The 26,888-nt window shown below is 40.6% G+C and overlaps 1 protein-coding gene across 8 annotated transcripts in view; it reads right to left on the bottom strand.

Annotated features, from left to right (window-relative positions):
* The window catches only part of PHACTR2 (phosphatase and actin regulator 2), a 294,308-nt gene that overhangs the window by 20,038 nt on the left and 247,382 nt on the right, over positions 1 to 26,888 (bottom strand). For 6 of the 8 annotated variants that reach the window (NM_001394736.1, NM_014721.3, NM_001100166.2 and 3 more), the window contains 2 exons: positions 22,238 to 22,375; positions 4,015 to 4,091 (listed from right to left, as the gene is read on the bottom strand). In NM_001394736.1, coding sequence (NP_001381665.1) covers positions 4,015 to 4,091; positions 22,238 to 22,375 — 215 coding nt within the window. Of the gene's footprint in view, positions 1 to 4,014; positions 4,092 to 20,927; positions 21,384 to 22,237; positions 22,376 to 26,888 lie in introns of all 8 variants that reach the window. The other 2 variants (NR_172204.1, NR_172205.1) reach the window with 1 other exon arrangement.

Here is a 26,888-nt window from a genome sequence, read left to right as displayed (position 1 = left end):
TTCTGAATCATACACACAAATAAATGCACCTCTCCAAAGCATAGATAACAGGTAAAAATAATAGTTTTATACTCTTGGCCTCCGTCCATAAGACACAAAACAATGAAGTAAAACATAACAATACAGATAGATTTGAATATACAAAAATTTAAACAAAATACCATTAAAAAGTTTAAAAGTTAACAATAAATTGGAAAAAATATTGCAACATAGGCAATAAAGGGCTGATATCCATGATATCTAAGAAGATGTTACCAATCCATATAAAAGACAAACAACTACCCAAAAAATTGATCACATAATTTTTTTTTTTTTTGAGACAGGGTCTCACTTTGTCACCCAGGCTGGAGTGCAGTGGTGTAGCCATGCCTCACTGCAGCCTCCATTTCCTGGGCTCAGGCGATTCTCTCACCTCAGCCACCCAAGTAGCTGAGACTACATGCAAGTGCCACCATGCTAAGCTAATTTTTAAAATTTTTTTCTAGAGATGGGGTCTCACTATGTTGACCAGGCTGGTAGAGAACTCCTGGGCTAAGCAATCCTCCTGCCTCAGCTGGTCAGAAGTTTTGGATAGTCAAATCAAATAATAAAAAATAAGTGATCAATAAAGGTATGTTAAGATGCCCAATCTAATAGAAATCAATGAAATGGGGTATTATTGTTCATCCTTTAGAATATAAACCTCTCGACCACATGAGTAGTGAGTAGACTAGGCATGCTCTTAAACTGTAGATCTGTAAACTAAGTGCTCTTTTTGGAGGATAATGGAATAGTTTATTCCAAAATGCAAAATGTATATGCCCAGAAACCTAGCAAATCCACTTATGGGACTACCACAGAAATACTGGCATGTGTGCACAAAGATATATGCATAAAGAAAGTCAAGGCAACATTGTTTTAATAATGAAAAACTGAAAACTCCATAAACATCCATCAATAGTGTAATTGTTCAATAACTTTTTGGCATATTATCTATGAAATGTCAGTCATTCAAATGAAATATATATATACACAAATATATACATAATTTTTTTTTCGAGACAGGATTTCTTTCTGTTGCCTAGGCTGGAGTGCAGTGGTGTGATCTGGGCTCACTGCCACCTCTGCCTCCTGGGATCAAGTGATCCTCCCACCTCAGCCTACCAAGTAGCTGGGACTACAGCTGTGAGCCACTACGCTCAGCTAATTTTTGTATTTTTAGTAGAGACAGGGTTTGCTATGTTGTCCAGGCTGGTCTCGAACTCCTGAGCTCAAAAGATCTGCCCACCTCGGCCTCCCCAAGTGCCGGGATTACAGGCCTGAGCCACTGCATCCAGCTGAATGAGATATATATTATTATAGAAAGATTTCTTAGATGCTGTGTTTATGTGTGAGAGAGGGTACATATAAATGCATACATGTACATACACATATTTAATATATATATATATATACACACATACACACATTTATAAATGCATGGAAAAACATCTAAAAGGATCTACATCAAGCTTTTACTAGTGGATACCTGTGAGAACAGAAATGAGGTTGGGAAAGGAGTGAAGGTTTTTCATTTATACTTAATAGAATTTTGTATTGCTTGAATGCTTAATTAGAATATATTATTTTTGTACATACAAATACATATATAAAAAAGAAGCCAGGTGCAGTGGCTCATGCCTTTAATCACAACACTTTGGTAGACTGAGCTGGGAGGATCGCTTGAGCTCAGGACTTCAAGACCAGCCTGGGCAACATAGCAAGACCTCATCTCTACTAAAAAAACAAACAAACAAACAAACAAAAAAACAAAAAATACCCCCACAAAAACAAAATGACCCTTACTTCTCCCTGTACTCCAATTTTATTGTGCTTCTTCATATAGAGTACAACAGAACAGAAAGAACCTCTTTTAGTATAAATATTTATTTTTCATAAAATGAGAACTTCCATAAAAATGTACTTTTAAAATTTGATTCCTTTTGACTGTAATTTGTTCTTTATATCATGCTATCAAATGAAGATAAGGCTATCAGATACTCCAACTTCTAGGAAAACTATGCAGAAGCAAAACTATCCCGAATGATAATGTATGGGTTGAGTGCAGTCACTGCAGCTCAGGGATCAGGACCCAACTGCACCAAGCACTCTATCTTCCCAGTTGCCCGGAGGCCCCAGCCAGCATGATGTCACTCAAAATATTCCACCTTTTAATAATCAACTTTACTTCAGAAGAGCAACTACAGGTGTCACATTTTAGCATACATTTTTCCCGACCCTAGAAGTGGAAGGGAGAAAAGAGGGGGACAAAAATGTCTGGCTTGATAGGGACATGTTGTTGGTCTCAGAGTAGATTATGATAGAATAAAGCCCTCAAATAGATAAAAATCCATTCAGGATGTTGGAACGCTCTACATGTATATAAAAACAAATGATATAGGAGGAAATAAAAAAATAAAGAAGAAGTACATTCAGCTCTTGGTGTCTGCAGGGGATTCATTCCAGGACCCCTTCAGATACCAAAATCCATGGATTCCTCAAGTCCCTGATAGAAAATGGTGTAGAATTTACATACAACCTACACCCATCCTCTTGTATACTTTAAATAATCTTTAGATTACTTATACTACCTAATACAATGTAAATGCTGTATAAATAGCTATTATACAGTATCGTTTTATGCTCTGTGTTATTTTTATTGTTGTGGTGTTATTTTATATTTGTTTTAAAAAATATTTTGGGCTGGGTGTGGTGGCTTATGCCTGTAATCCCAGCATTCTGAGAGGCTGAGGTGGGCGGATCACTCTAGGTTAGGAGTTTGAGACCAGCTGGACCAACATGGTGAAACCCTGTCTCTGCTATTAATACAAAAATTAGCCAGGTATGGTGGCACATGCCTGTAATCCCAGCTACTTGGAGGCTGACACAGGAGAATCGCTTGAACCCGGGAGGTGGAGGTTGCAGTAAGCTGAGATTGCATCACTGCACCCCAGCCTGGGTGACAGAGCAAGACTCTGTCTCAAAAAAAAAAAAAAAAAAAATTTTGGATTGTGGTCAGTTGACTCCACAGATGGGGAACCCATAGATATGGAAGGCCAACTGTAACCCTGAAAGAAAGGGGAGTTTCTCTGGCACACAAGACAGTAAGATAGGAAGAAAAGCTGTGGAGCAAGTCTATGATAACAAACCTCACTCCTCCCCCATCAATTTCAGGGAAGTTTGCTGTTAAAGTTGGAGGTTATACAGCAACTTCCTTTATATTGTGACATGCTCCCAGCACACAGTACCATCATCACCGGGACTGCAGGAACAGTGGCACCAGGATGTATGGCTGTAGCTTAGGGGATCAATATTTGTTACCGGGTTAGGTAACCTGTGAAAGAAACCGAAAGGGACTGAGGGAAAAATGGTAAGATGATAGCGATCTCCTTCGTCACCAGTAAAATCAGGATTCCCATCCTAAAGTTACATCTTCTGAAAAGTCAGCTTCAATCCTGTGTTATGTCTATTGTGAAACCAAAGTGTTATGTATGTGCCCACACTGACTCTCGCCAGCATCTATTCTGGGCATACAACTTCAACTAAGTCTGTTCAAGAGCAGAATAAATGATGTCTTCAGACCCAGAAAAAAACGAAGAAAGGAACCAAAATGTAGCCCCATGGAATGATTCAGACTTCCTTGAAAGAAAAGATTTAATTTTAGAAATTCTTATTCAGCATGATTAGTTTTAGTGTTCTTGAAGGAGATAGCTGAGTTTATTATGAAATTCTAGAAATTTACAATCTTATCTAGTCATATCTTTAAAACTGTCACATTGACTATTAGGTTCTTAAAAGCCAACAAGGATGAATGTGAGAGAAGCGGAAATGTTCATAAGATGGTTTTAAGCTAAACTGTTTAAAAACATTTTTTAATTGTGATGAAATATACCTATCATAAAATTTACCATTGTAAGCAATTTCTTTTTTTAACCAACTCAACATGGGATCACATCTTAAGCATTTTCAATTTCTAAGCTGCATTTTGTCACCTACCTTGTAAACTGTCGACTCTCTTCATGAACTTCCATTTCTGTGCTTTTAAATTCATTTAGTTCTTTCCTTATTGCTGCCTAAACAGGAAAAAAAATAGATAAACAGAACTGTTATTTAGGTCATATATTGCCCCAGTATATACAGCATCAATGAAGCAGACCTTTTTTTTTTTTTTAAGAGATAGAGTCTCGCTCTGTCATCCAAGCTGGAGTGGAGTGGCGAGATCATGGCTCATTGCAGCCTCAAACTCCTGGGCTCAAGTGATCCTCCCAACTCAGCATTCCCAGTAGCTCGGATTACAGGTGTGCGCCACCATGCTCAGCTAATTTTTAAATTTTTTTTGGTAGAGACACAGTCTCAAGATGTTGCCCAGGCTGATCTCGAACTTCTAGGCTCAAGTGATCCTCTCACCTCAGTTTCTCAAAGTGCTGAAATTACAGGCATGAGCCACCATACTGAGCTTAGACATTCTTTTAAGGTGTAATAAATATAATATCATACTATAGCCAAACTAAAACCATGATAGACTTCCTTCAAGTGCCATTGGCAAGAGGGAGTGGGAGCGGGCCTTTGCTAAACTCATCCTTGAGTCTGGTCTATGAGTCACACGGAACATCCCCCACCCACGATGACCACAAGGAAAGTGCAGGTCATGACATTTTCTGAGAAGCAATACCATTTTCCTATGGAAAGTTCTACATAGAATATTGCCTACAACAACATGGCTTTGACTAGCTGCCAGAGAGCTACAGAGAAAGCAGTTGCTTATATATTCTTTAATATTGGAAGTTTATAGAAATAGAACTTATAATTTCAGCATAATCCTTAAAGCTACCCAAAGAAAATATCAAATAGAATGCATTGCTATTTAAAGAACACATAATCCGTGTCACGTAATTTTTGGTATTTGAGGGGATGCTTACGCCATTCAGACTGAAATGTTAACATTAGTTATCTGTTAACAAATAGTGGCAGGATTACAGATGGTTCGTGGTTTCAAATTTTTGCTTATTTTTATTTCCTAACTTCTCTATAAAGAATGTTTTACTCATGTTTTTAAAAAGGTGCTAATAAAAACACCCCTGTAACCTCTAGGCAAAATGGACTCTTCAGCCAAAACTAAGAATGATAAGTCACAGGGAGTGACTTCACTGGGAGATAAAAAGTCTTCTTTGTGGTTGGAAAATAATACATTTTAGGAAAGGGAACAGACAGAAAAAAAGCCCTGAGGCCTGTCTCTAGCTCTCTCTCATAACTAACCATCATTCTGCAATACACGAGCCTTTCCCTCAACACTCCTTTCAATGCTATATTTAAGTCCATGTCACAGATTGTCTCTTCTCCCCAGATATATTCCTCAGCCCCTGTAGTTTCTATGGAGAACCTGTGACTAGGAACTGTGACAATAATGCTTGCTACTGACTTTTGGAAATGAAGAAGCAAGCAGAGAAATATGTGTGAGCCTGAGTCCTCTGTGACATGGCTGTCCAGTTTGTCTCACTAGTCCGATCAACAGTGAGGATACTTTTGCTTACTGCAAAAAGTGATGCCTAGAACCAGAAGGAGAAAGAGTGAGGCTGCTCTATACCACTCGCCAATTAACATCTATAAAACGTTCTTCCTTGAAAGGAGGTTTTTTTTTTTTTTTTTTTTTGAGACGGAGTTTCACTCTTGTCACCCAGGCTGGAGTGCAGTGGTACGATCTTGGCTCACTGCAACCTCCGCCTCCCAGGTTCAAGTGATTCTCCTGCCTCAGCCTCCCGAGCAGCTGGGATTACATGCATGCACCACCGTGCCTGGCTAATTTTTTGTATTTTTAGTAGAGACGAGGTTTCACCATGTTGGCCAGGCTGGTCTCAAACTCCTGACTTTGTGATCCGCCCGCCTCGGCCTCCCAAAATGCTGGGATTACAGGCATGAGCCACCGTGCCCGGCCGAAAGGAGGTATTTTAATTTGAATAGTGGCAGAGAATCCTGTCTTGATGTTCATTTTAAATTTCTTCTCCAAATGTAAGGTTTCAGCAGAGGAAGTGAAAAGCGGTCCACTGGGAGTCAGAAGGCAGGGATTCTAGTCTTGGCTATGCCCTCATTAGCAGTGTGACCCTTAGTGAGTCACTTCACTCCAAACCCCAATTTTCTTATCTGGAAAACCAGGAGGAAATTCTTCACAATATCATGAGAATTAATCAAGAGCATATTTGAAAGTGCTTTGTACACTGTAGAGTCAATAAAATGTCATTATTATGAGCCTCTTGAAAAACAAATTATTCTAGTTTGTGATTGGGATTCACAATTCTTTCACTTTTATTTATGAAGAGTCCACTGGAATGGAAGAAGATAATGCCACCGAAGTTGACTTAACCATGAATAAGATAAAGTCCTTATTTGCAATAGTAGGTTGGCTACTACTGATCTAAGAGTATGGCAAAAATCAATGAAAGCATTCTGTGAGCATCAACTGAGATATGGAATTTACAAAACATTACAATTGTAAATTGTGTGCTATAGATCCATCATATTGATACAATTTATAATTCACTGATGACCATATACATATGCATAAGAGAGACAGTTTACTATTTACAGGCATATCCTACTGGCTCATCTGCAATGTGACTTTGCTATTCCCCCATCAAGAGGTGAAGTCTGTCTCTCCAGCCTTGACTCTGGGTGAGTCCTGTAACCACTTTCAACAAATGCACACAGTAGAGGTGATACGTGCCAGTCTGATGTGGCCCTTAACTGGCCTGGCACCTTTTGCTTCTTGCTACTTTAAAGCCAGCTGCCATGTAAAAAAAAGTGACTACTCTCAGAAAACCATGCTGTGAGAAACCCAAGATACAGGGAAAGGCCCTGGAGGTTAAGATGCTGGGTAGATAGAGAGAGAGAGGCCAAGGAGCAAAAGGCACCGACGGTTAGTGAAGAAGCTGTCTTGGAAGTGAATTATCTAACCCAGCATCTCACCTGATGCCACAGGGATCCCAAACAAACTGCTGGGCCGAGCCCTTCCCAAATTCATAACTCAGAATTGAGAGCAAAATAAATAGCTGTTTTAAAAGCCACTAAATTCTGGGGTGGTTTGTTAAAAAGCAGTTGATAACCTGAAAACTATTCCAAGGCTTTTACCTTACAGCTGATGCAATGGAGGCCTAGAGAGGTCACATGACTTGCTAGAGAGAGATGCGCATTAACCCTTTTCCTGTTTGCCCTGAGAATATTTGCCTGGCAACACTAACGGCTGCAGTTGTTTACCTCAGGATAAGTTTGTCATGAAATATCTTGCTTTTATTTTCGCAACGCTCTAGTATATCGACTTTGGAAACAAAAGACATCATTCTATTTATAGCATTATGGTTTTAGTAGTGGTATTCCTATTTACAAAATACAGTATTTCTCTATTGCTGAAAATGTCAAATCCTAGAAAACACAGCCTTTCTATGTGTGATGTTAACATCATTCTCAAACAGTTGTTGGCCAAAAAATCGTTCGATGAATCTGATTTTTCCAAAATAGATGATTTTGATGTTCTATTTAGAAACAACTCCAAGAACAGTTTTTATATTCATTTATTTATTTTTATTTATTTGAGACAGGGTCTCACTGTGTCATTCAGGTTGGAGTGCAGTGGCGTGATCTCAGCTCACTGCAACCTCTGCCTCCTGGGTTCAAACAATTCTCCCACCTCAGCCTCCTGAGTGGCTGGGCCTACAGGTGTGCGCCATCATGCCTGGCTAATTTTTTGTATCTTTTGTGGAGATGGATTTCGCAATGTTGGCCAGGCTGGTCTCAAACTCCTAGGCTCAAGCAATCTCCCCACTTCGGCCTCCCAAAGTGCTGGAACTACAGGCGTGAGCCACTGCAATCGGCCTCTATTTTATTTTCACATTGAAAATCTGTCAGATTTGCTTCAGCCTCAAAGAGCGTGTTTATGTAAAATTAAATCAGCACTGGCAGCGAGGTGCACTTTCTTTCTCTAAACAGGATGAGGGTTAAATGACAAACATGGGGCTCATACACAAGCCTTTTAACCTCACATCCTACAGTCTTTCCATTAATATGAGCTTCTGGGCCCCTGTCATCAGGAAAATTGCTTCAGATCTGCATGTTGTGTGTGCTGGCTTACAATTAGAAATGATGAGTCAGTTATGTGAATGATATGGCAATGGAAGTGATGTGAAATTGTAAGGACTAGTTGTTTGAAAAAAATATACCAGAAAGATGTGACTACAGGCAATTAAAGAAATAGAATGCTTATTTTTAAAATTCACTGAAGATTGATCATAGTTTTATTACAAGAGCTACTTCCTCTTGGAATAAAGAGAAAGATTTCCTGAGAGAGTTTAAAACAGGAAAAAAAGTAAATCAGACACTTTAGACAAATACATGTATAATAAACTTAACTCTCTTCTTTGCAAAGGAGACCAGGTTTTAGGCCTAATAATTCTTCACATATATGTAATTAGGACTGATTTTTTTTTTTTTTTTTGAGACAGGGTCTTGTTCTGTCACCCAGGCTGGAGTGCAGGTGGTGTGATCACAGCTCATTGTAGCCTCAAATTCCAAGGCTGAAGACACCCTCCCACCTCAGCCTCCCAAGTAGCTGGGACCATAGGTGTGTGGCCACCACATCTGGCTAATTAAAAAAAAAAAAAAATTTGTGGAGATGAGGTTTTGCTGTGTTGCCCAGGCTGGTCTTGAACTCCTGGGCTTAAGCAATCCTCCCGCCTTGGCCTACCCAAATTGTTGGGATTACAGCCATGAGCCACCACACCCAGTCTGGGACTGATTTTGTTGAAAGACATGAGATAGAAAGAGCTGGGCTGAGGTTATGGGGGATCAGAGCTCCAATGGTGCTGGGTTGTACAACCAATGGGAAGCCATTGAGCCAAAACTAGGTATTTCTAGAGTAGAAACAACAACAACAACAAAGCTCTATGAGATAGCAACTGAGACCAAATATGTAGTCATTTTGGCATCATGAGAATTATAGAGAGGAAAAAGGAAACAAAAATGTCTGAAACTAAGTTTAAAATTGGCCAGTGGTGAGTGGTAACAGGTCTGCTTCATCAGTCCCAGTCAGCTCAGGCGTTATGCCGGGAAGAAGCAACAGGTGATTTGTTGAAAATGCAGACCCTGGAGTGGACCTCCAGTAAACTCCAACAGACCTGCAGCTGAGGGGCCTATCTGTTAGAAGGAAAATGAGCAAACAGAAAGGAATAGTATCAACATCAACAAAAAGGACATCCACACCCAAACCCCATCTGTAGGTCACCAACATCAAAGACCAAAGGTAAATAAAACCACAAAGATGGGGAGAAACCAAGGCAGAAAGGCTGAAAATTCCAAAAACCAGAATGCCTCTTCTCCTCCAAAGGATCACAACTCCTCGCCAGCAAGGGAACAAAACTGGACGGAGAATGAGTTTGATGAGTTGACAGAGTAGGCTTCAGAAGGTCAGTAATAACAAACTTCTCCGAGCTAAAGGAGCATGATCTAATCCATTTCAAGGAAGCTAAAAACGTTGAAAAAAGGTTAGATGAATGGCTAACTAGAATAACCAGTGTAGAGAAGAGCTTAAATAACCTGATGGAGCTGAAAACTACAGTACGAGAACTCCGTGAAGCATACACAAGCCTCAATAGCCACTTCGATCAAGCGGAAGAAAGTATATCAGTGATTGAAGATCAAATTAATGAAATAAAGTGAGAAGACAAGATTAGAGAATAAGGAGTGAAAAGAAATGAACAAAGCCTCCAATAAATATGAGACTATGTGAAAAGACCAAATCTACGTTTGATTGGTGTACCTGAAAGTGATGGGGAGAATAGAACCAAGTTGAAAAACACTCTTCAGGATATTATCCAGGAGAACTTCCCCAACCTAGCAAGAGAGGCCAACATTCAAATTCAGGAAATACAGAGAATACACCACAAAGAGATTGCCCGAGAAGAGCAACCCCAAGACACATAACTGTCAGATTCACGAAGGTTGAAATGGAGGAAAAAATGTTAAGGGCAGCCAGAGAGAAAGGTTGGGTTAACCACAAAGGGAAGCCATCAGACTAACAGTGGATCTCTCTGCAGATACCCTACCAGCCAGAAGAGAGTGGGGGTCAATATTCAACATTCTTAAAGAAAAGAATTTTCAACCCAAAATTTCATATCCAGCTGAACTAAGCTTCATAAGTGAAGGAGAAATAAAATCCTTTCCACACAAGCAAATGCTGAGAGATTTTGTCATCACCAGGCCTGCCTTACAAGAGCTCCTGAAGGAAGCACTAAACGTGGAAAGGAACAACCAGTCCCAGCCACTGCAAAAACATGCCAAATTGTAAAGACCACTGATGCTAGGAAGAAACTGCATCAACTAACGGGCAAAATAACCAGCTAACATCATAATGACAGGATCAAATTCAAACATAACAATATTAACCTTAAATGTAAATGGGCTAAATGCCCCAATTAAAAGACACAGATTGGCAAATTGGATAAAGAGTCTAGACCCATCAGTGTGCTGTATTCAGGAGACCCATCTCACATGCAAAGACACACATAGGCTCAAAATAAAGGGATGGGCTGGGTGCGGTGGCTCACACCTGTAATCCCAGCACTTTGGGAGGCCGATGCAGGCAGATCACGAAGTCAGGAGATCGAGACCATCCTGGCTAACACAGTGAAACCCCGTCTCTACTAAAAATACAAAAAATTAACTGGGCATGGTGGCGGGCACCTGTAGTCCCAGCTACTCAGGAGGCTGAGGCAGGAGAATAGGGTGACCCTGGGAGGCGGAGCTTGCTGTGAGCGGAGATTGCACCACTGCACTCCAGCCTGGGCAACAGAGCCAGACTCGGTCTCAAAAAAATAAAAAATAAAAAAAATAAAGGGATGGAGGAAGACCTACCAAGCAAATAGAAAGTAAAAAAATAGCACAGGTTGCAATCCTGGTCTCTGATAAAACAGACTTTAAACCAACAAAGATCAAAAGAGACAAAGAAGGCCATTACGTAATGGTGAAGGGATCAATTCAACAAAAAGAGTTAACTATCCTAAATATATATGCATCCAGTACACGAGCACCAGATTCATAAAGCAAGTTCTTAGAGACTTACAAAGAAACTTAGACTCCCACACAATAATAATGGGAGACTTTAACACCCCACTGTCAATACTGGACAGATCAATAAGACAGAAAATTAACAAGGATATCCAGGACTTGAACTCAGCTCTGGACCAAGTGGACCTAATAGACATCTACAGTATTCTCCACCCCAAATCAACAGAATATACATTCTCCTTAGCACCACATTGCACTTATTCTAAAATTGACAACATAATTGGAAGTAAAACACTCCTCAGCAAATGTAAACGAACAGAAATCAAACTGTCTCTCAGACCACAGTGCAATAAAATTAGAACTCAGGATTAAGAATCTCACTCAAAACCGCACAGCTACGTGGAAACTGAACAACCTGCTCCTGAATGACTACTTGATAAATAACGAAATGAAGGCAGAAATAAAGATGTTCTTTGAAACCAATGAGAACAAAGACACAATGTACCAGAATCTCTGGGACACAGCTAAAGCAGTGTGTAGAGGGAAATTTATAGCATTAAATGCCCACAAGAGAAAGCAAGAGAGATCTAAAATCGACACCCTAACATCACAATTAAAAGAACTGGAGAAGCAAGAACAAACACATTCAAAAGCTAGCAGAAGGCAAGAAATAACTAAGATCAGAGCAGAACTGAAGAAGATAGAGACACAAAAAACCCTTCAAAAAATCAATGAATCCAGGAACTGGCTTTTTGAAAAGATTAACAAAATAGATAGACTGCCAGCAAGACTAATAAAGAAGAAAAGAGAGAAGAATCAAATAGACGCAATAAAAAATGATAAAGGGGATATCACCACTGATCCCACAGAAACACAAACTACCATCAGAGGATACTATAAAAACCTCTACACAAATAAACCAGAAAATCTAGAAGAAATGGATAAATTCCTGGACACATACCCCCTCCCAAGACTAAACCAGGAAGAAGTTGAATCTCTGAATAGACCAAAATAAGCTCTGAAATTGAGGCAATAATTAATAGTCTACCAACCAAAAAGAGTCCAGGACCAGACGGATTCACAGCCAAATTCTACCAGAAGTACAAAGAGGAGCTGGTACCATTCCTTCTGAAACTATCCCAATCAATAGAAAAAGAGGGAATCCTCCCTAACTCATTTTATGAGGCCAGCATCATCCTGATACCAAAGCCTGGCAGAGACACAACAAAAAGAGAGAATTTTAGGCCAATATCCCCGATGAACATCAGTGCAAAAATCCTCAGTAAAATACTGGCAAACCCAATCCAGCAGAACATCAAAAAGCTGATCCACCATGATCAAGTCAGCTTCATCCCTGCAATGCAAGGCTGGTTCAACATACACAAATCAATAAACATAATCCATCACATAAACAGAACCAATGACAAAAACCACATGATTATCTCAATAGATGCAGAAAAGGCCTTGGACAAAATTCAACAGCCTTTCATGCTAAACTAGGTATCGATGGAACGTATCTCAAAATAATAAGAGCTGTTTATGACAAACCCACAGACAATATCATACTGAATGGACAAACACTGGAAGCATTCCCTTTGAAAACCGGCACAAGACAAGGATGACCTCTCTCACCACTCCTATTCAACATAATGTTGGAAGTTCTGGCCAGGGCAATCAGGCAAGAGAAAGCAATAAAAGGTATTCAAATAGGAAGAGAGGAAGTCCAATTATCTTTGTTTGCAGACGACATGACTGTATATTTGGAAAACCCCATCGTCTCAGCCCAAAATCTCCTGAAGCTGATAAGCAACTTCAGCAAAGTCTCAGGATACAAAATCAATGTGCAAAAATCACAAGCATTCCTATACATCAATAACAGACAAACAGAGAGCCAAATCATGAGTGAACTCCCATTCACAATTGCTACAAAGAGAATAAAATACGTAGGGACACAACTTACAAGGGATATGAAGGACCTCTTCAAGGAGAACTACAAACCACTGCTCAAGGAAATAAGAGAGGACAGAAACAAATGGAAAAACATTCCATGCTCATGGATAGGAAGAATCAATATCGTGAAAATGGCCTTACTGCCCAAAGTAATTTACAGATTCAATGCTATCCCCATCCAGCTACCACTGACTTTCTTCACAGAATTGGAAAAAACTACTTTAAACCTCATATGGAACCAAAAAAGAGCTCGCATATCCAAGACAATCCTGGGCAAGAAGGACAAAGCTGGAGGCATCTTGCTACCTGACTACAAACTTTACAAGGCTACAGTAACCAAAACAGCATGGTACTGGTGCCAAAACAGATACACAGACTGATGGAACAGAACGGAGAAATAACACCACACATCCACCACCTGATCTTTGACAAACCTGACACATACAAGCGATGGGGAAGATTCCCTATTTAATAAACGGTGTTGGGAAAACTGGCTGGCCATATGCAGAAAACTGGAACTGGACCCCTTCCTTACACCTTATACAAAAATCAACTCAAGATGGATCAAAGACTTAAATGTAAGACCTAGGACCATAAAAATCCTAGAAGAAAACCTGGGCAATACCATTCAGGACATAGGCATGGGCAAAGACTTCATGTCTAAAACGCCAAAAGCAAACGGCAACAAAAGCCAAAATTGACAAACGGGGATCTAATTAAACTGAAGAGTTTCTGCACAGCAAAAGAAATTATCACCAGAGTGAACAGGCAACCTACAGAATGGGAGAAAATTTTTGCAATCTATTCATCTGACAAAGGGCTAATATCCAGAATCTACAAAGAACTTAAACAAATTTACAAGAAAAAAGCAAACAACCCCATCAAAAAATGGGCTAAGGATATGAACAGAAACTTCTCAAATGAAGACATTTATGCAGCCAACAGACATATGAAAAGATGCTCATCATCACTGGTCATGAGAGAAATGCAAATCAAAACCAGAATGAGATACCATCTCATGCCAGTTAGAATGGCGATCATTCAAAAGTCAGGAAACAACAGATGCTGGAGAGGATGTGGAGAAATAGGAATGCTTTTACGCTGTTAGTGGGAGTGTAAATTAGTTCAACCATTTGGAAGACAGTGTGGCGATTCCTCAAGGATCTAGAACTAGAAATACCACTTGACCCAGCAATTCCATTACTGGATGTATACCCAAAGGATTAGAAATTATTCTACAATAAAGACACATGCACATGTATGTTTACTGAGGCACTATTCACAATAGCAAAGACATGGAACCAACCCATATGTCCATCAGTGATAGACTGGATTAAGAAAATGTGGCACATATACACCATGGAACACTATGCAGCCATAAAAAAGGATGAGTTGATGTCCTTTGCAGGGACACGGATGAAGCTGGAAACCATCATTCTCAGCAAACTATCACAAGATCAGAAAACCAAACACCGCATGTTCTCACTCATAAGTGGGAGTTGAACAATAAGAACACATGGACACAGGGAGGGGAACATCACACACTGGGGCCTGTAGGGGGTGGGGGACTAGGGGAGGGATAATATTAGGAGAAATACCTAATGTAGGTGATGGGTTGATGGGTGCAGCAAACCACCATGGCACGTGTATACCTATGTAACAAACCTACACGTTCTGCACATGTAACCCAGAACTTAAAGTATAATAAAAACAAAGAAAGAAAGAAAGAAAGAAAGAAAGAAAGAAAGAAAAGAAAAAGAAAATGCAGACCTTGCTGCCTTCTCAAATAGCATGAGCTGTGGGGCCAGAATTAACTAGAATTGCCATTTTGATATCCTTTATTTCTTGGATAAAATTATGATGGGATGTGGAGAGGATTTCTGGACTACTCATCAATCAAGTTCAATGCCACAGGGAGGCAAGTGTACTCCCTTCTGCTGCTAAGGCATCAATGAACAGGGCAAAGAATAGCTTAGGGACAACAAAAATCTCAGGCTTTCTTAGGACCTGTTTAGACACTGTGTTCCTGGAAAGACAGTTTGTCTTATTCAATTTTATATCCCCAGTATCTAGGACGATACCTAATATATTGTAAGGGTTTTAATAAGTGATTACTGAGTGACCTGTTGGACAAAAGCACATCTCATCTGAAAAAATTCTACACTCTCTTTCACTGGATAATTTTAGACTAGATCGTAAACTCAGGAATCAACGGTGAAAATATCACCAATGGGGAACAAAGCTTGGCTTCTCATCCCTGACTATGAGTATAATATTGGTAATAGCTACCATTTATTGACAAGCAGGAATTCTAGAGATATTCTACCTAATTCTCAAGATAGATATAATTGACTTTATTTTACTAGTAAGTAAACCTAGGTTAAATGACTTGGCCAAGGTCAAACAACTACTAAGTGGCCAAGTCAAGGATCAATCCATCCTAGAAGTGCCCAGTTCTAAAGCCTGCCCCTCTCTCCTCCATGGAGCTTCCAAGTTCTACTCTAAGGAGATGGTTACTGGCAGGCAAGCCTAGGTCTTCAGGCCAATTCAATGGCCTTCTCTGACCTCACCTCTCTGCCACTGAAGGGCCAGCTCGTCTATCTACCTCAGTGCAGGAAACCAGGCCATCTCTATTTTACTGTACATATATCTGTTTCTAGTGCTCTAAGTACATATATTCTAAAACTGAAAATTTTATTTTGTTTATTTTTGTTTTAGAGACAGGGTCTCATTCTGTTGCCCAGGCTGCAGTGCAGTGGCACAATCACAGCTCATTGCAGTCTTGAACTCCCAGACTCAAGGGATCCTCCTGCCTCAGCCTTCCAAGTAGGTAGGAATACATGGGTGTGCCACCACACCTGGCTAATTTTTTTAGTTTTTGTAGAGAGAGGGTCTTGCTATGTTGCTCAGGCTGGTCTTTAACTCCTGGCCTCAAGTGACCCTCCCACCTTGGCCTCCCAAAGTGCTAACATTACAAGTGTGAGTCATTGTGCCCCGACCTGAAAATTTTATTTTAAAGGTGAATAAAGCTCAATCAAGTTCACAATTAATAAGGCATTTCTCCCACCACTTCTCTTTTCCAACATGAGCCATTTAACCAGACTACCAGATTCCGGAGATTCCCCACCACAACCAGCAAGGGCCTTCCTCCTTCACAGAAAGGAGAGGCATTGATTAATTACTGACTGATTGGCTACTACTCTTTAAAATGCAAGGTGGTAGCTTAATGGGGCTAAGAAAATGGCACTAAGATAAGAGAAAGAAAAAAGATGTCTCCTTTAGGCTGAAAGGAAGCTCATTTTTTGTTTGTTTGTTTGTTTGGTTTGGTTCAGTTTTTGAGATGGAGTCTCGCTTTGTCACCCAGGCTGGAGTGCGGCGGCATAATCTTAGCTCACTGCAACTTCTGTCTCCTGGGTTCAAGTGATTCTCCTGCTTCAGTCTCCCAAGCAGCTGGGACTACAGGCAGGAGCCACCATGCACAGCTAATTTTTGTATTTTTAGTAGAGATGGGGTTTCACCATGTTGGCCAGGCTGGTCTTGAACTCCTGACCTCAAGTGATCCACCCAACTCACCCTCTCAAAGCACTTGGATTACAGGCATGAGCCACTGCACCTGGCCTCATTGTTTATTTTTTAAAGCAGAGGTGGAAATATTTACTTTGAATAGTTTTTAAAAATGGGATATAGAGCTCAAAAGTTAAAAATAAAACTCATTTTTAAACCTAATAGCTAAATTATAATTTTTACATGAATTAACTTAATACAATATTTTAAATCTGATCTAAATATATATAATAAATAATATATTATAAAATGTTTTAAGGTAAAAAGCAACAAAAACCAGAAATGCTTGTTAATAATGGTGATTAGCATGTGTTATTTTCATTCTAAAATAAAATATACACTAAGACCATTGATAGTCTTAGGATCTTTGGGCAATAATATTGTACTATTTCATCACACTTATCTTTTAACAACTAGAGGGAACAATTTTTTTCAGTGTTAGGTAGTAAATGGTATTTTTAGAAATTATTAAAAGTACCGTGCATTAAAGTGGTTCTTTTTTTATTTTTGCATTTTTGAATATTCAGATATGGCCCAATGAATATTCATCACTTGTGTATATACAATATACTACACATAAACATCTTAAATTGTTGCATTTTTCTATTTTTTATCTTTAAAAAGTGTACCATATTATTTATTTATTTATTTATTTTGAGATAAGGTCTAGCTCTGTTGCCCAGGCTGGAGTGCCGTGGCATGGCTCACTGCAGCCTCCTGCTCCTGGGCTCAAGCAATTCTCCCACCTCAGCTTCCCGAGTAGCTGGGACTACAGGTACGCGCCACCACACCCGGCTAATTTTTTGTATTTTTTAGTAGAGGCAGAGTTTCACCACATTGCTCAGGCTGGTCTCAAACTCCTGAGCTCAAGAAATCTTGAGCTCAAGAAACCTTGGCCTCCCAAAGTGCTAGGATTACAGGCATGAGCCACCATGCCTGGCCAATATTTTTTCTATTTAAAAGAAATTCTACCTCTTAATTTTCTTCCAGAGAAACACACACATACACAATAAAAATCCACTTCTAAAAATGCTGCTTTTTAGACTTTAAAAAGCCTCAGGAGAAATGTGAGAGATACTGTCAGAGGGAGAAAATGAGGCCCATGTGTGAGGAGAGAGGGGCAGTGGCTGTGCTCTGGGGCTCAGATCTGCAAGGGAGATGTCAAAGTCATATGCCTTCAAAGCACTCATGAACAGAAACAAAGCCTGTGGCAGAAAACCTGGTCATGTACCTTTCCCCTGCAACCTAGAAGTCCAGAACAAAATCCCATTTTTGTTTCAACATAAAATTAAAAAAAAAAATCCTCTCTGTTACAGCTAGAGATGAATGAGCTTTACCTTCCAACAAAAGAACAAGAGTCAAAAGGAACTGTTTCTAGGGTTTGGACAATTTAGTTTCCACATGAGGGTGGTTAGTCATTTAGACTCTCCCTGCTTGCATACTTGGCAACTGCAGTGATCTTTACTCATTTATCTGGCCCTACCTGCCTTTCTGAAGTTTTGCATTTGAATAATAAGATAGCTGGGAATGGTGGGTGTGGAAAATTGTATTTTCCAAATTTGGCCACAATTGTGATCTTGCCACTCCCCTGTCAAGAAGTGGAGCTAATTAATTCCCCTTTCCTTGAAGCTTGAGCTGGTCTTATGATTTGCCTGTTACTAATAGAACGTAGTGGAAGTGAGGCTGGATGCCTTCCAAAGCCAGATCAGGAAAGGCCATATAGCTTTTACCTGGTTCTCTTGGGACATTTGCTGAGCCACCAAGTAAGAAGACTGATGACTCGGGCCACCATGCTGAAGAGGCCATGTATAGGTAGTTTGGCGGACTAGGAGCCAGAATTGAGCCCAGTCTCTGAGCCTTCCTTACCAAGACACCAGACATGTTAGAGAGGTTATCTTGGAGCCTCCAAAGTAGCCTATTTGTCAGCTGAATAACATTGAGTGACCTTAGTCAACCTCATGAAGAGCAGAAGAATCACCTAGCTGAGCCCTGACTAAATCCCCAACCTACAAAATCTGTAAGATATAAAATAGCTGCTGTTTTCAATCACTAAGTTTTGGGGAAGGTCACTGCACAGAAACAGTGACTAGAGCAGGGTCAACTAGGAGCCACTAAATGAGAGGTGAATGACCAGAAGCCCACAACTGAAAGGAAAGGAGGATGGAAGAAACCTTGCACCAAGTTCATAATGCAGTACTATTTCTAGCAAAATGGCATACCAGATGCCTTGACTAACTCTTCTATTGAAAAACAATTAAAATGCTAAACATGGCATCTAAAAACTGCTTTAAATGTACTAAACAGCTGGGAAAAGAGTAAAAAATACTTTGATGAGAATGAGTAAAAGAAGATCATGGCCAGAAAAATAAGGTAAGTGAGAAATGAAACTGGCTTTGACCTTGAGGGCACTTGTGTTAAATCTAGTGAATTTGAGCAGGCATCTTTATGATTTGGTGAAATACAGAAGACACACAAAACCCACTCAGGTCTAATAAATAATTCTCTCTCCATAAATTGGGGACCAAATGGCATACCCTCAGTGTAAGGGTAAGCTAGAATATCTGACCCTCCAAGGACAAACAAAAAATTGCAAGCTGGTGCTTAGTAAGTAAGGGGATAGGCAGGGAGTGATGAAATGTACCCTGAAAATTTGAAGCCATCAGCTAAACATCACAGAGGTTTGCTGCTTCAATTCATAGTACTAAGGTAGTATAAAATAACTCATTTTGACAATCCAGTTTAAAAATTATATTTTTAAATATAACAAAGTTTCATCAAGAAAATGTATGCATTCTAAACATATATATCTAATGATACACCTCACAATAAATGAAGCAAAATTAACAGAATTATAAGGAGAAGTAAAAAAAAAAATCCACATAGTGGGAGATTTAACATGTCTTGTTTGTTACCTGATGGATCAAACTGACAAAAAAATAACTAAGGGTACAGAAATCTGAATAGAACTAGCAAGATTGATCTTACAGGAAAATTTGCACACCCTCAAACCATAGAACACATATTGTTTTCAAGGACATGTGAGATATTTATAATTACTAAAAATCCCAATATGAAGGCCACATCCCAGACCAATGAGATCAGCATCTCTGGAGATGGGACCCAGACATCCACATTCTTAAAGATCTATAGGTGATTCCAATTTGTAGCCAAGGTTGCAAATCACTGACACACAGAGTCATTTCTAACCTTCAGTGCTTGTATCAGAAAGTAAGGAAGGATGAAAATTAATGATCTGGAGAGTCTATCTTAGGTTAGAACAGAATAGCCAATAAAGCCCAAAAAATTAGGAGGAAGAAGAGAAAAGAACAAATAATGACATAGAAAACAAACATATAATACAGATGACCAAGCAAACTGAAAGCATATCTTATACCTTCCCCCAAAAAACAACTCCAGGTAAACAAAAAAGTTAAATGTGAAAAGCAAAATTATAAACAATTTAGAAGACAGTATATGAGAATATATCTATCATTTTGGTATGCAAAGAATTTTTAAAACCAGAAACAAAATCATAAGCCATAAAGAAAAAGGTTGATAAATTCGACTGTATTAAGTTTAAGAATCTTGTTGGCCGGGCGCCATGGCTCACGCCTGTAATCCCAGCACTTTGGGAGGCCGAGGCGGGCAGATCACAATGTCAGGAGATGGAGACCATCCTGGCTAACACGGTGAAACCCCATCTCTACTAAAAATATTTTGTAAAAAATAGCTGGGCGTGGTGGCGGGCGCCTGTAGTCCCAGCCACTCGGGAGGCTGAAGCAGGAGAATGGCGTGAACACAGGAGGTGGAGCTTGCAGTGAGCTGAGATCGAGCCACAGCACTCCAGCCTGGGTGACAGAGTGAGACTCCGTCTCAAAAAAAAAAAAAAAGAATCTTGTTAAATCAATATTTGCAACATACATAACTGGAATATATGAAGAACTCCTATGAATCAGAAAAAATTGACAACCCAAAAGAAAATGGGCAAAAGGCACTTCGGTGGAGTGGTATCCAAATGCCCAATAGGCATATGAAAATATGTTCAATCTCATTCATAATGAACGAAAGGCAAAGTAAAAGCACAATGAGATACGACTTCCTAGCTTCCTCAGCCTGTGCTCTCCCTCCGTCCTCAAGGGTCTGCTCCTTGCCTCTTTCACATAAGTACTGACCTGCTACTCCAGTGATTTTTCCCACGCTATCAGTTACTGACTTTTCCGCCTGTATGTTCAACCTCTCCCTTTCTTTTGACCCCTTCACCACATAAAAAATTGTTCAAGTATTTCCCATAAATTAAAAAAAAATCACTCCCTTGATACTGTATCTCATTTTCCAAATTTACGCACCCAAGCTTATTGACCTTCACAATCACCAGCCATACGTTGAACAACTGCCTCATCATACTTCAGAGCCCAAATTCTCAGGATTGTGTTTGATCCTCGTTGTCTCCACCACAGGCTTCCACCCATCAGGCCACCAAAATGCTCCCTCTCACCATGTCACTGCACACATGTGGCCGTCCGTCCTCCCTGACACAGTCCTTCCAAGCTGCTGTGCTACCAGCTTCTCCTCTTTCCCCACTTCACGGACATTTCTTCTCAATATTCTTCTGCTGCTTCTTCCTAAAACATCCCTGGAGTGCTTTTCTCAGCCTCCTTCTCTTCTATTCTTGTTCTGAACATTCTTCCTTTGTGATCTTATTCCTTCTTACTTTTCATTTCTACTTATGAGCTAAGGATTTCTGAATCTGTATCTCCAGTATATGCTTGATGCATAGCAGGTATTTTAAATAATGAAGCTTCCTATTAAAAAGAGTCAGCACAGAGCATGATTAAATGCCTAGTTTTAGCATTAAGATGTGGCATGTTTAAGCAAAAGTACTTATGATTAAAAAAAACTGGGTATAGCACGAGTTTATTCAATACCAGATTTTGCTAAGAGATAAAAATTAGAACAATTTAAAAACAAACGGTTGGCACGAATCTTTGCCTATGGAACAATGGTACTAATAAGGTAAAAGTCTTTCTACATTGATAGAACCCACTGTATATTTCATTTTTCAGGAATTGTGTGCAATGATTTAGATTAGGGGTTGGTAAGCCTGACCTGCAGGTCAAATTTGGCCCACCATCTGTTTTTGTAGATAAAGTTTTATTGGAGCATATACATATCCATTCAATTACACATTGTCTGTGGCTGTTTTCATGCTACAATGGCAGAACTGGGCAGTTGCAACAAAGATTGTATGGCCCACATAGCCTAAACTATTTGCTGTCTTGTCATTTCTATTAAAAGTGTGCCAGTCTCGACGAAGATTAAACCTTTCTATTAACATATCCCTTTAAAATGATAAGTTGTATAAGTTATATTTTCTAAGAGTAAGGATAAATCCTGGATGTGAGAAAGCCCTCCTCATCCAGGTATGAAAGCAGGTAGGTTATATGGTAAATAACTACTTTTCTCTGAGACTTAGTTGAAAGAACTACATTGATATCACTAAATGTATCACTTAAGTGGCTTAAATAATCAGAGGCAGAAAACTGTTGTAATATTTGGTAAGATCTCGTCCCCTGGGATGACTTAAGTAGGGGGGATGTGGATATTGGAGCTTCCAGAAAAGCAATACAATCAACACAAAATCCACTGGGATTCTTGCCTTGTCTGCAGGTGTTAACCTGGCCCAGGGCTTGTCTGCTCGGCGGTCATAGTCAGGAGAATCCGTGACTTCTACATACTCGTTAAATCGCAGGATCCTTCGAGCTTGTAGCTCTGCCACTGTGGGTCTCAGGCTGAGCTGCAGGAGGACAAGGAAAAAGGCAGAGTTCAGTAAACCACTTACAGCCTCATGGTGGCAAGTTTTCTATAGAGAACACTTCAAAGTTATGGTTAAATAAGGTCACTTTCAGATCAAAAAAAAAAAAAAAGGCAACAGCATCTTGGGAATTTCTAATGAGAACTAGAAAGCCATGTGCCCTAATTTTTGAGACTATAAAAAAATCATCGTTTTAGATAGGTCACAGTCTTTGGCAACCACCTGCATTATGCTATTTTCCCCAACTTGCCTGGCACTGTGATAAAGGTCTATCATCCCTGACGCAAGGAACATGCAATGCGCAGACACAATAGTAACCCAGATACAGAATGGCTGGTTTGGTGATTGAATTATCAAGGCAAAAGCCATGGAATTTTTAGAAATGGGAATAAAAACCTGTTCCTATAATATTAAGCCCATACACTCAGAAATGTACAAAGTTATGACATAGAAAGGGTCCAATAAAGGGTGTGCCTACAGCACAGCTGTCCTTAAGATATTCATAATAAGGACAAGACCCCAATCAGACACATGCCCTTGGCCAGAAAAACCGATGTACACGAATGGGGAGGGGAGAGTTGATGGAGAACTGTACTTCCTTGAGGCCATCACTGCTTAAAATCAACTCCAACCTTTAAGATACTTCTAACAACTTCGGTTCCTCCTTGTGGTCTTTGTCAAATTCAGATTTGTAATTATATTGCTTTTCTTTCTGGGTCCTTTCTCAAACCGAAGAATAAGACTCTGACAGGTGAAAGAAAGCTGGCCCCTTGGTAAACAGGCATTATCTACTCTCTGCTACGGAGGTTCACTCCCATTTTGGTCTTTCTTAGTTGGGTGGTATCACAGTTATCTCCAGAGAGGTAGACTTAGACCTCTATTGTAGCCATAGGGCCCATTTTCATATATTTCCTCTCTTATATATACTCTGTATACAGCCAGACTACCCATCATCTAAGTGGTCCTCTCCGGAGATATTGCTTATTTTTTTTTTATTTAAACAGAGTGGGTGGGGGGTCTCTCTATGTTGCTCAGGCTGGTCTTGAACTCTTGGGCTCAAGCGATTCTCCCATCTCAGCCTCCCAAAGTGCTGGGGTTACAGGCATAAGCCACAACACCTGTCCAGAGATATTCCTTATTTTGCACTGGGTCTACATTCTGTAGTCATTAACAGCCCTTTCCTGGGCCTCAGTTTCCTTCTGAACTAAGCCAATACTGTAATATTCAAAGCACTCAAGGACTTTTAGAAGGCCTAGGCCCATACCCTGAGCCCACTGGAGCAGGGATGTGCCAACTATGGCTCCCTCTATCTTCATAGAGCCCCGGTAGGCAATGGACAAGAGAAAGAATAATCTAAGTGATCTGCTATAGTCTAGTTGCTGTCCAATCTATATTGCTAGCTTCTTGCTGCCACTTTGGGGCAGGTGGAAATAAGGAGGTAGAGAAGCCCTTGCTCCTAAGAACTGGCTAGAAGGAAAGTGACCAATGGCAATATAGGTTAGAAATTCTCCATCCAGTCTTGTCCTCAGGACTGTCCCAGTCATGGGGTAGCTACCAGTGCTACGGGCTGACCTGCACCTACGGCATGGAGCTATGTATGGTGGAGGCAAGTGGGTGCAGAGGGTAAGGGCTGGCACTGCTGCCTCATGGAGGGGCCCAGCTGGATTGAGAAAGATGATTTGTATCACAAGACTGTGCCCAGGGCAATAAGGAGGGGGTGATTGATTGTCTACAGATGGTAACTTAAGGGCCATTGAAAACTAGAGTCATCCCTAGAAATTGAGTCAATAAAGTCTTTCAGTTTGATCATTATTTGACATTTATGAGCTTTGAGAAAAAAAAATGATATGGTTTGGCGGTGTCCTCACCCAAATCTCAACTTGAATTGTATCTCCAGAATTCCCACATGTTGTGGGAGGGACCCAGGGGGAGGTAATTGAATCATGGGGGCTGGTCTTTCCCATGCTATTCTCGTGATAGTGAATGAGTCTCATGAGATCTGATGGGTTTATCAAGGGTTTCTGCTTTTGCTTTCTCCTCATTTTATCTTGCTGCCACAATGTAAGAAATGCCTTTTGCCTCCTGTCAGGATTCTGAGGCCTCCCCAGCCATGTGGAACTGTAAGTCCAATTAAACCTCTTTTTCTTCCCAGTCTAGGGTATGCCTTTATCAGCAGCATGGAAACAGACTAATACAGTAAGTTGGTACCAGGAGTGGGGTGTTCCTGAAAAGATACCCAAAAATGTGGAATCAACTTTGGAACTGGGTAACAGGCAGATGTTGGAACAGTTTGGAAGGCTCAGAAGAAGATAGGAAAAGGTGGGAAAGTTTGGAACTTCCTAGAGACTTGTTAAATGGCTTTGACAAAAATGCTGATAGCAATATGGACAATAAGGTCCAGGCTGAGGTGGTCTCAGATGGAGATAAGGAACTTGTTGGGAACTGGAGCAAAGGTGACTCTTATTATGTTTTAGCAAAAAGAATGGCGGCATTTTGCCCCTGCCCTAGAGATTCGTGGAACTTTGAACTTGAGAGAGATGATTTAGGGTATCTGGCAGAAGAAATTTCTAAGCAGCAAAGCATTCAAAAGGTGACTTGGGTGCTGTTAAAAGCATTCCATTTTAAAAGGGAAACAGAGCATAAAAGTTCAGAAAATTTGCAGCCTGAGGATGCAGCAGAAAAGAACCCATTTTTTGAGGAGAAATTCAAGCTGGCTGCAGAAATTTGCCTAAGTAGCAAGGAAGCTAATGTTAATCCTCAAGACCATGGGGAAAATGTCTCCAGGCCATGTCAGAGACCTTCATGACAGCTCCTCCCATCACAGGCCTGAAGGCCCAGGAGGAAAAAGTGGTTTTGTGGGCAGGGCCCAGGGTCCCTGTGCTGTGTGCAGCCTAGGGACTTGGTGCCCTGTGCCCCAGCCACTCCAGCTGTGGCTGAAAGGGGCAAATGTAGAACTTGGGCTGTGGCTTCAGATCGTGGAAGCCCCAAGCCTTGGCAGCTTCCATATGGTGTTGAGCTTGTGGGTGAAAAGAAGTCAGAAACTGAGGTTTGGGAACCTCTGTCTAGATGCCCAGGCCAAAGTTTGCCATGGGCAGGGTTGGGGGTGGGGTGGGGCTCATGGAGAACCTCTGCTAGGGCAGTGCAGAAGGGAAATGTGGGGTTGGAACCCCCACACAGAGTCCCTACTGGGGCACTGCCTAGTGGAGCTGTGCAAAGAGGGTCACTGTCCTCCAGAACCCAGAATGGTAGATCCACCAACAGCATGCACCATGTGTCTAGAAAAGCTGCAGACACTCAACACTAGTCTGTGAAAGCAGCCAAGAGGGAGGCTGTACCCTGCAAAGCCACAGAGGTGGAGCTGCCCAAGACCATGGGAACCCACCTCTTGCATCAGTGTGACCTGGATGTGAGACCTGGATTCAAAGGAGATAATTTTGGACCTTTAAAATTTGGCTGCCCCACTGGATTTCAGACTTGCCATGGGCCCTGCAACCCCTTTGTTTTGGCCAATATCTCCCATTTGGAACAGCTAGCTGTATTTACCCAATGCCTGTACCCGCATTTTATCTAGGAAGTAACTAGCTTGCTTTTGATTTTACAGGCTCATGGGTGGAAGGGATTTGCCTTGTCTCAGATGAGACTTTGGACTGTGGATTTTGGGATACTGCCGAAATGAGTTAAGACTTTGGTGGACTGTTGGGAAGGCATGATTGGTTTTGAAATGTGAGGACATGAGATTTGGAGGGGCCAGGGGCAGAATGATATGGTTTGGCTGTGTCCCCACCCAAATCTCAACTTGAATTGTATCTCCCAGAATTCCCATGTGTTGTGGGAGGGACCCAGGAAGAGGTAATTGAATCATGGGGCTCGGTCTTTCCCATTCTATTCTTGTGATAGTCAAAAAGTCTCACAAGATCTGATGTGTTTATCAGGGGTTTCCAGTTTTGCTTCCCCTCCTCATTTTCTTTTGCCGCCACCATGTTAGAAGAGCCTTTTGCCTCCTGCCATGATTCTGAGGCCTCCCCAGCCATGTGGAACTATAAGTCCAATTAAATCTCTTTTTCTTCCCAGTCTCAGGTGTGTCTTTATCAGCAGTGTGAAAATGGACTAATACAATGGATAAATTAAGGATGTTTTTCCTTGAAAAACAGAACCAAACACTTTCAACATAGTCCCATAGCTTTTCTGTGGGAATGAAGCATTGCCTCCATCTGCCTTGGAATGCTTTTGTTGAAGACTCCCTGGCCAGCCCACAAAAATGTGGGTCAGGTCACACTTCATGTAGATGTCACATTTTAGTCACTTTATCCATTTTTAGGTGCATAAGGTATGCCTGAAGAATGATTAGAAGGATTTATAATGAAATATAAACTCTGATGGTGCTTGATTTTTCCAAAGGCTATTACTTTAACACAGAAAAAAGTGATGGCCCTAACATCAGATTTATATATTCATAAATAAGTGGCAACAATTGTCTGAGTTTGGGAGGTAAGAC

This window comes from Homo sapiens, chromosome 6 (genome assembly GCF_000001405.40).
Source record: "Homo sapiens chromosome 6, GRCh38.p14 Primary Assembly".
NCBI classification, from domain to species: Eukaryota; Metazoa; Chordata; class Mammalia; order Primates; family Hominidae; genus Homo; species Homo sapiens.
Note: the sequence above shows the minus strand (reverse complement) of the source record. Positions and strands in the feature narration are given on the sequence as shown.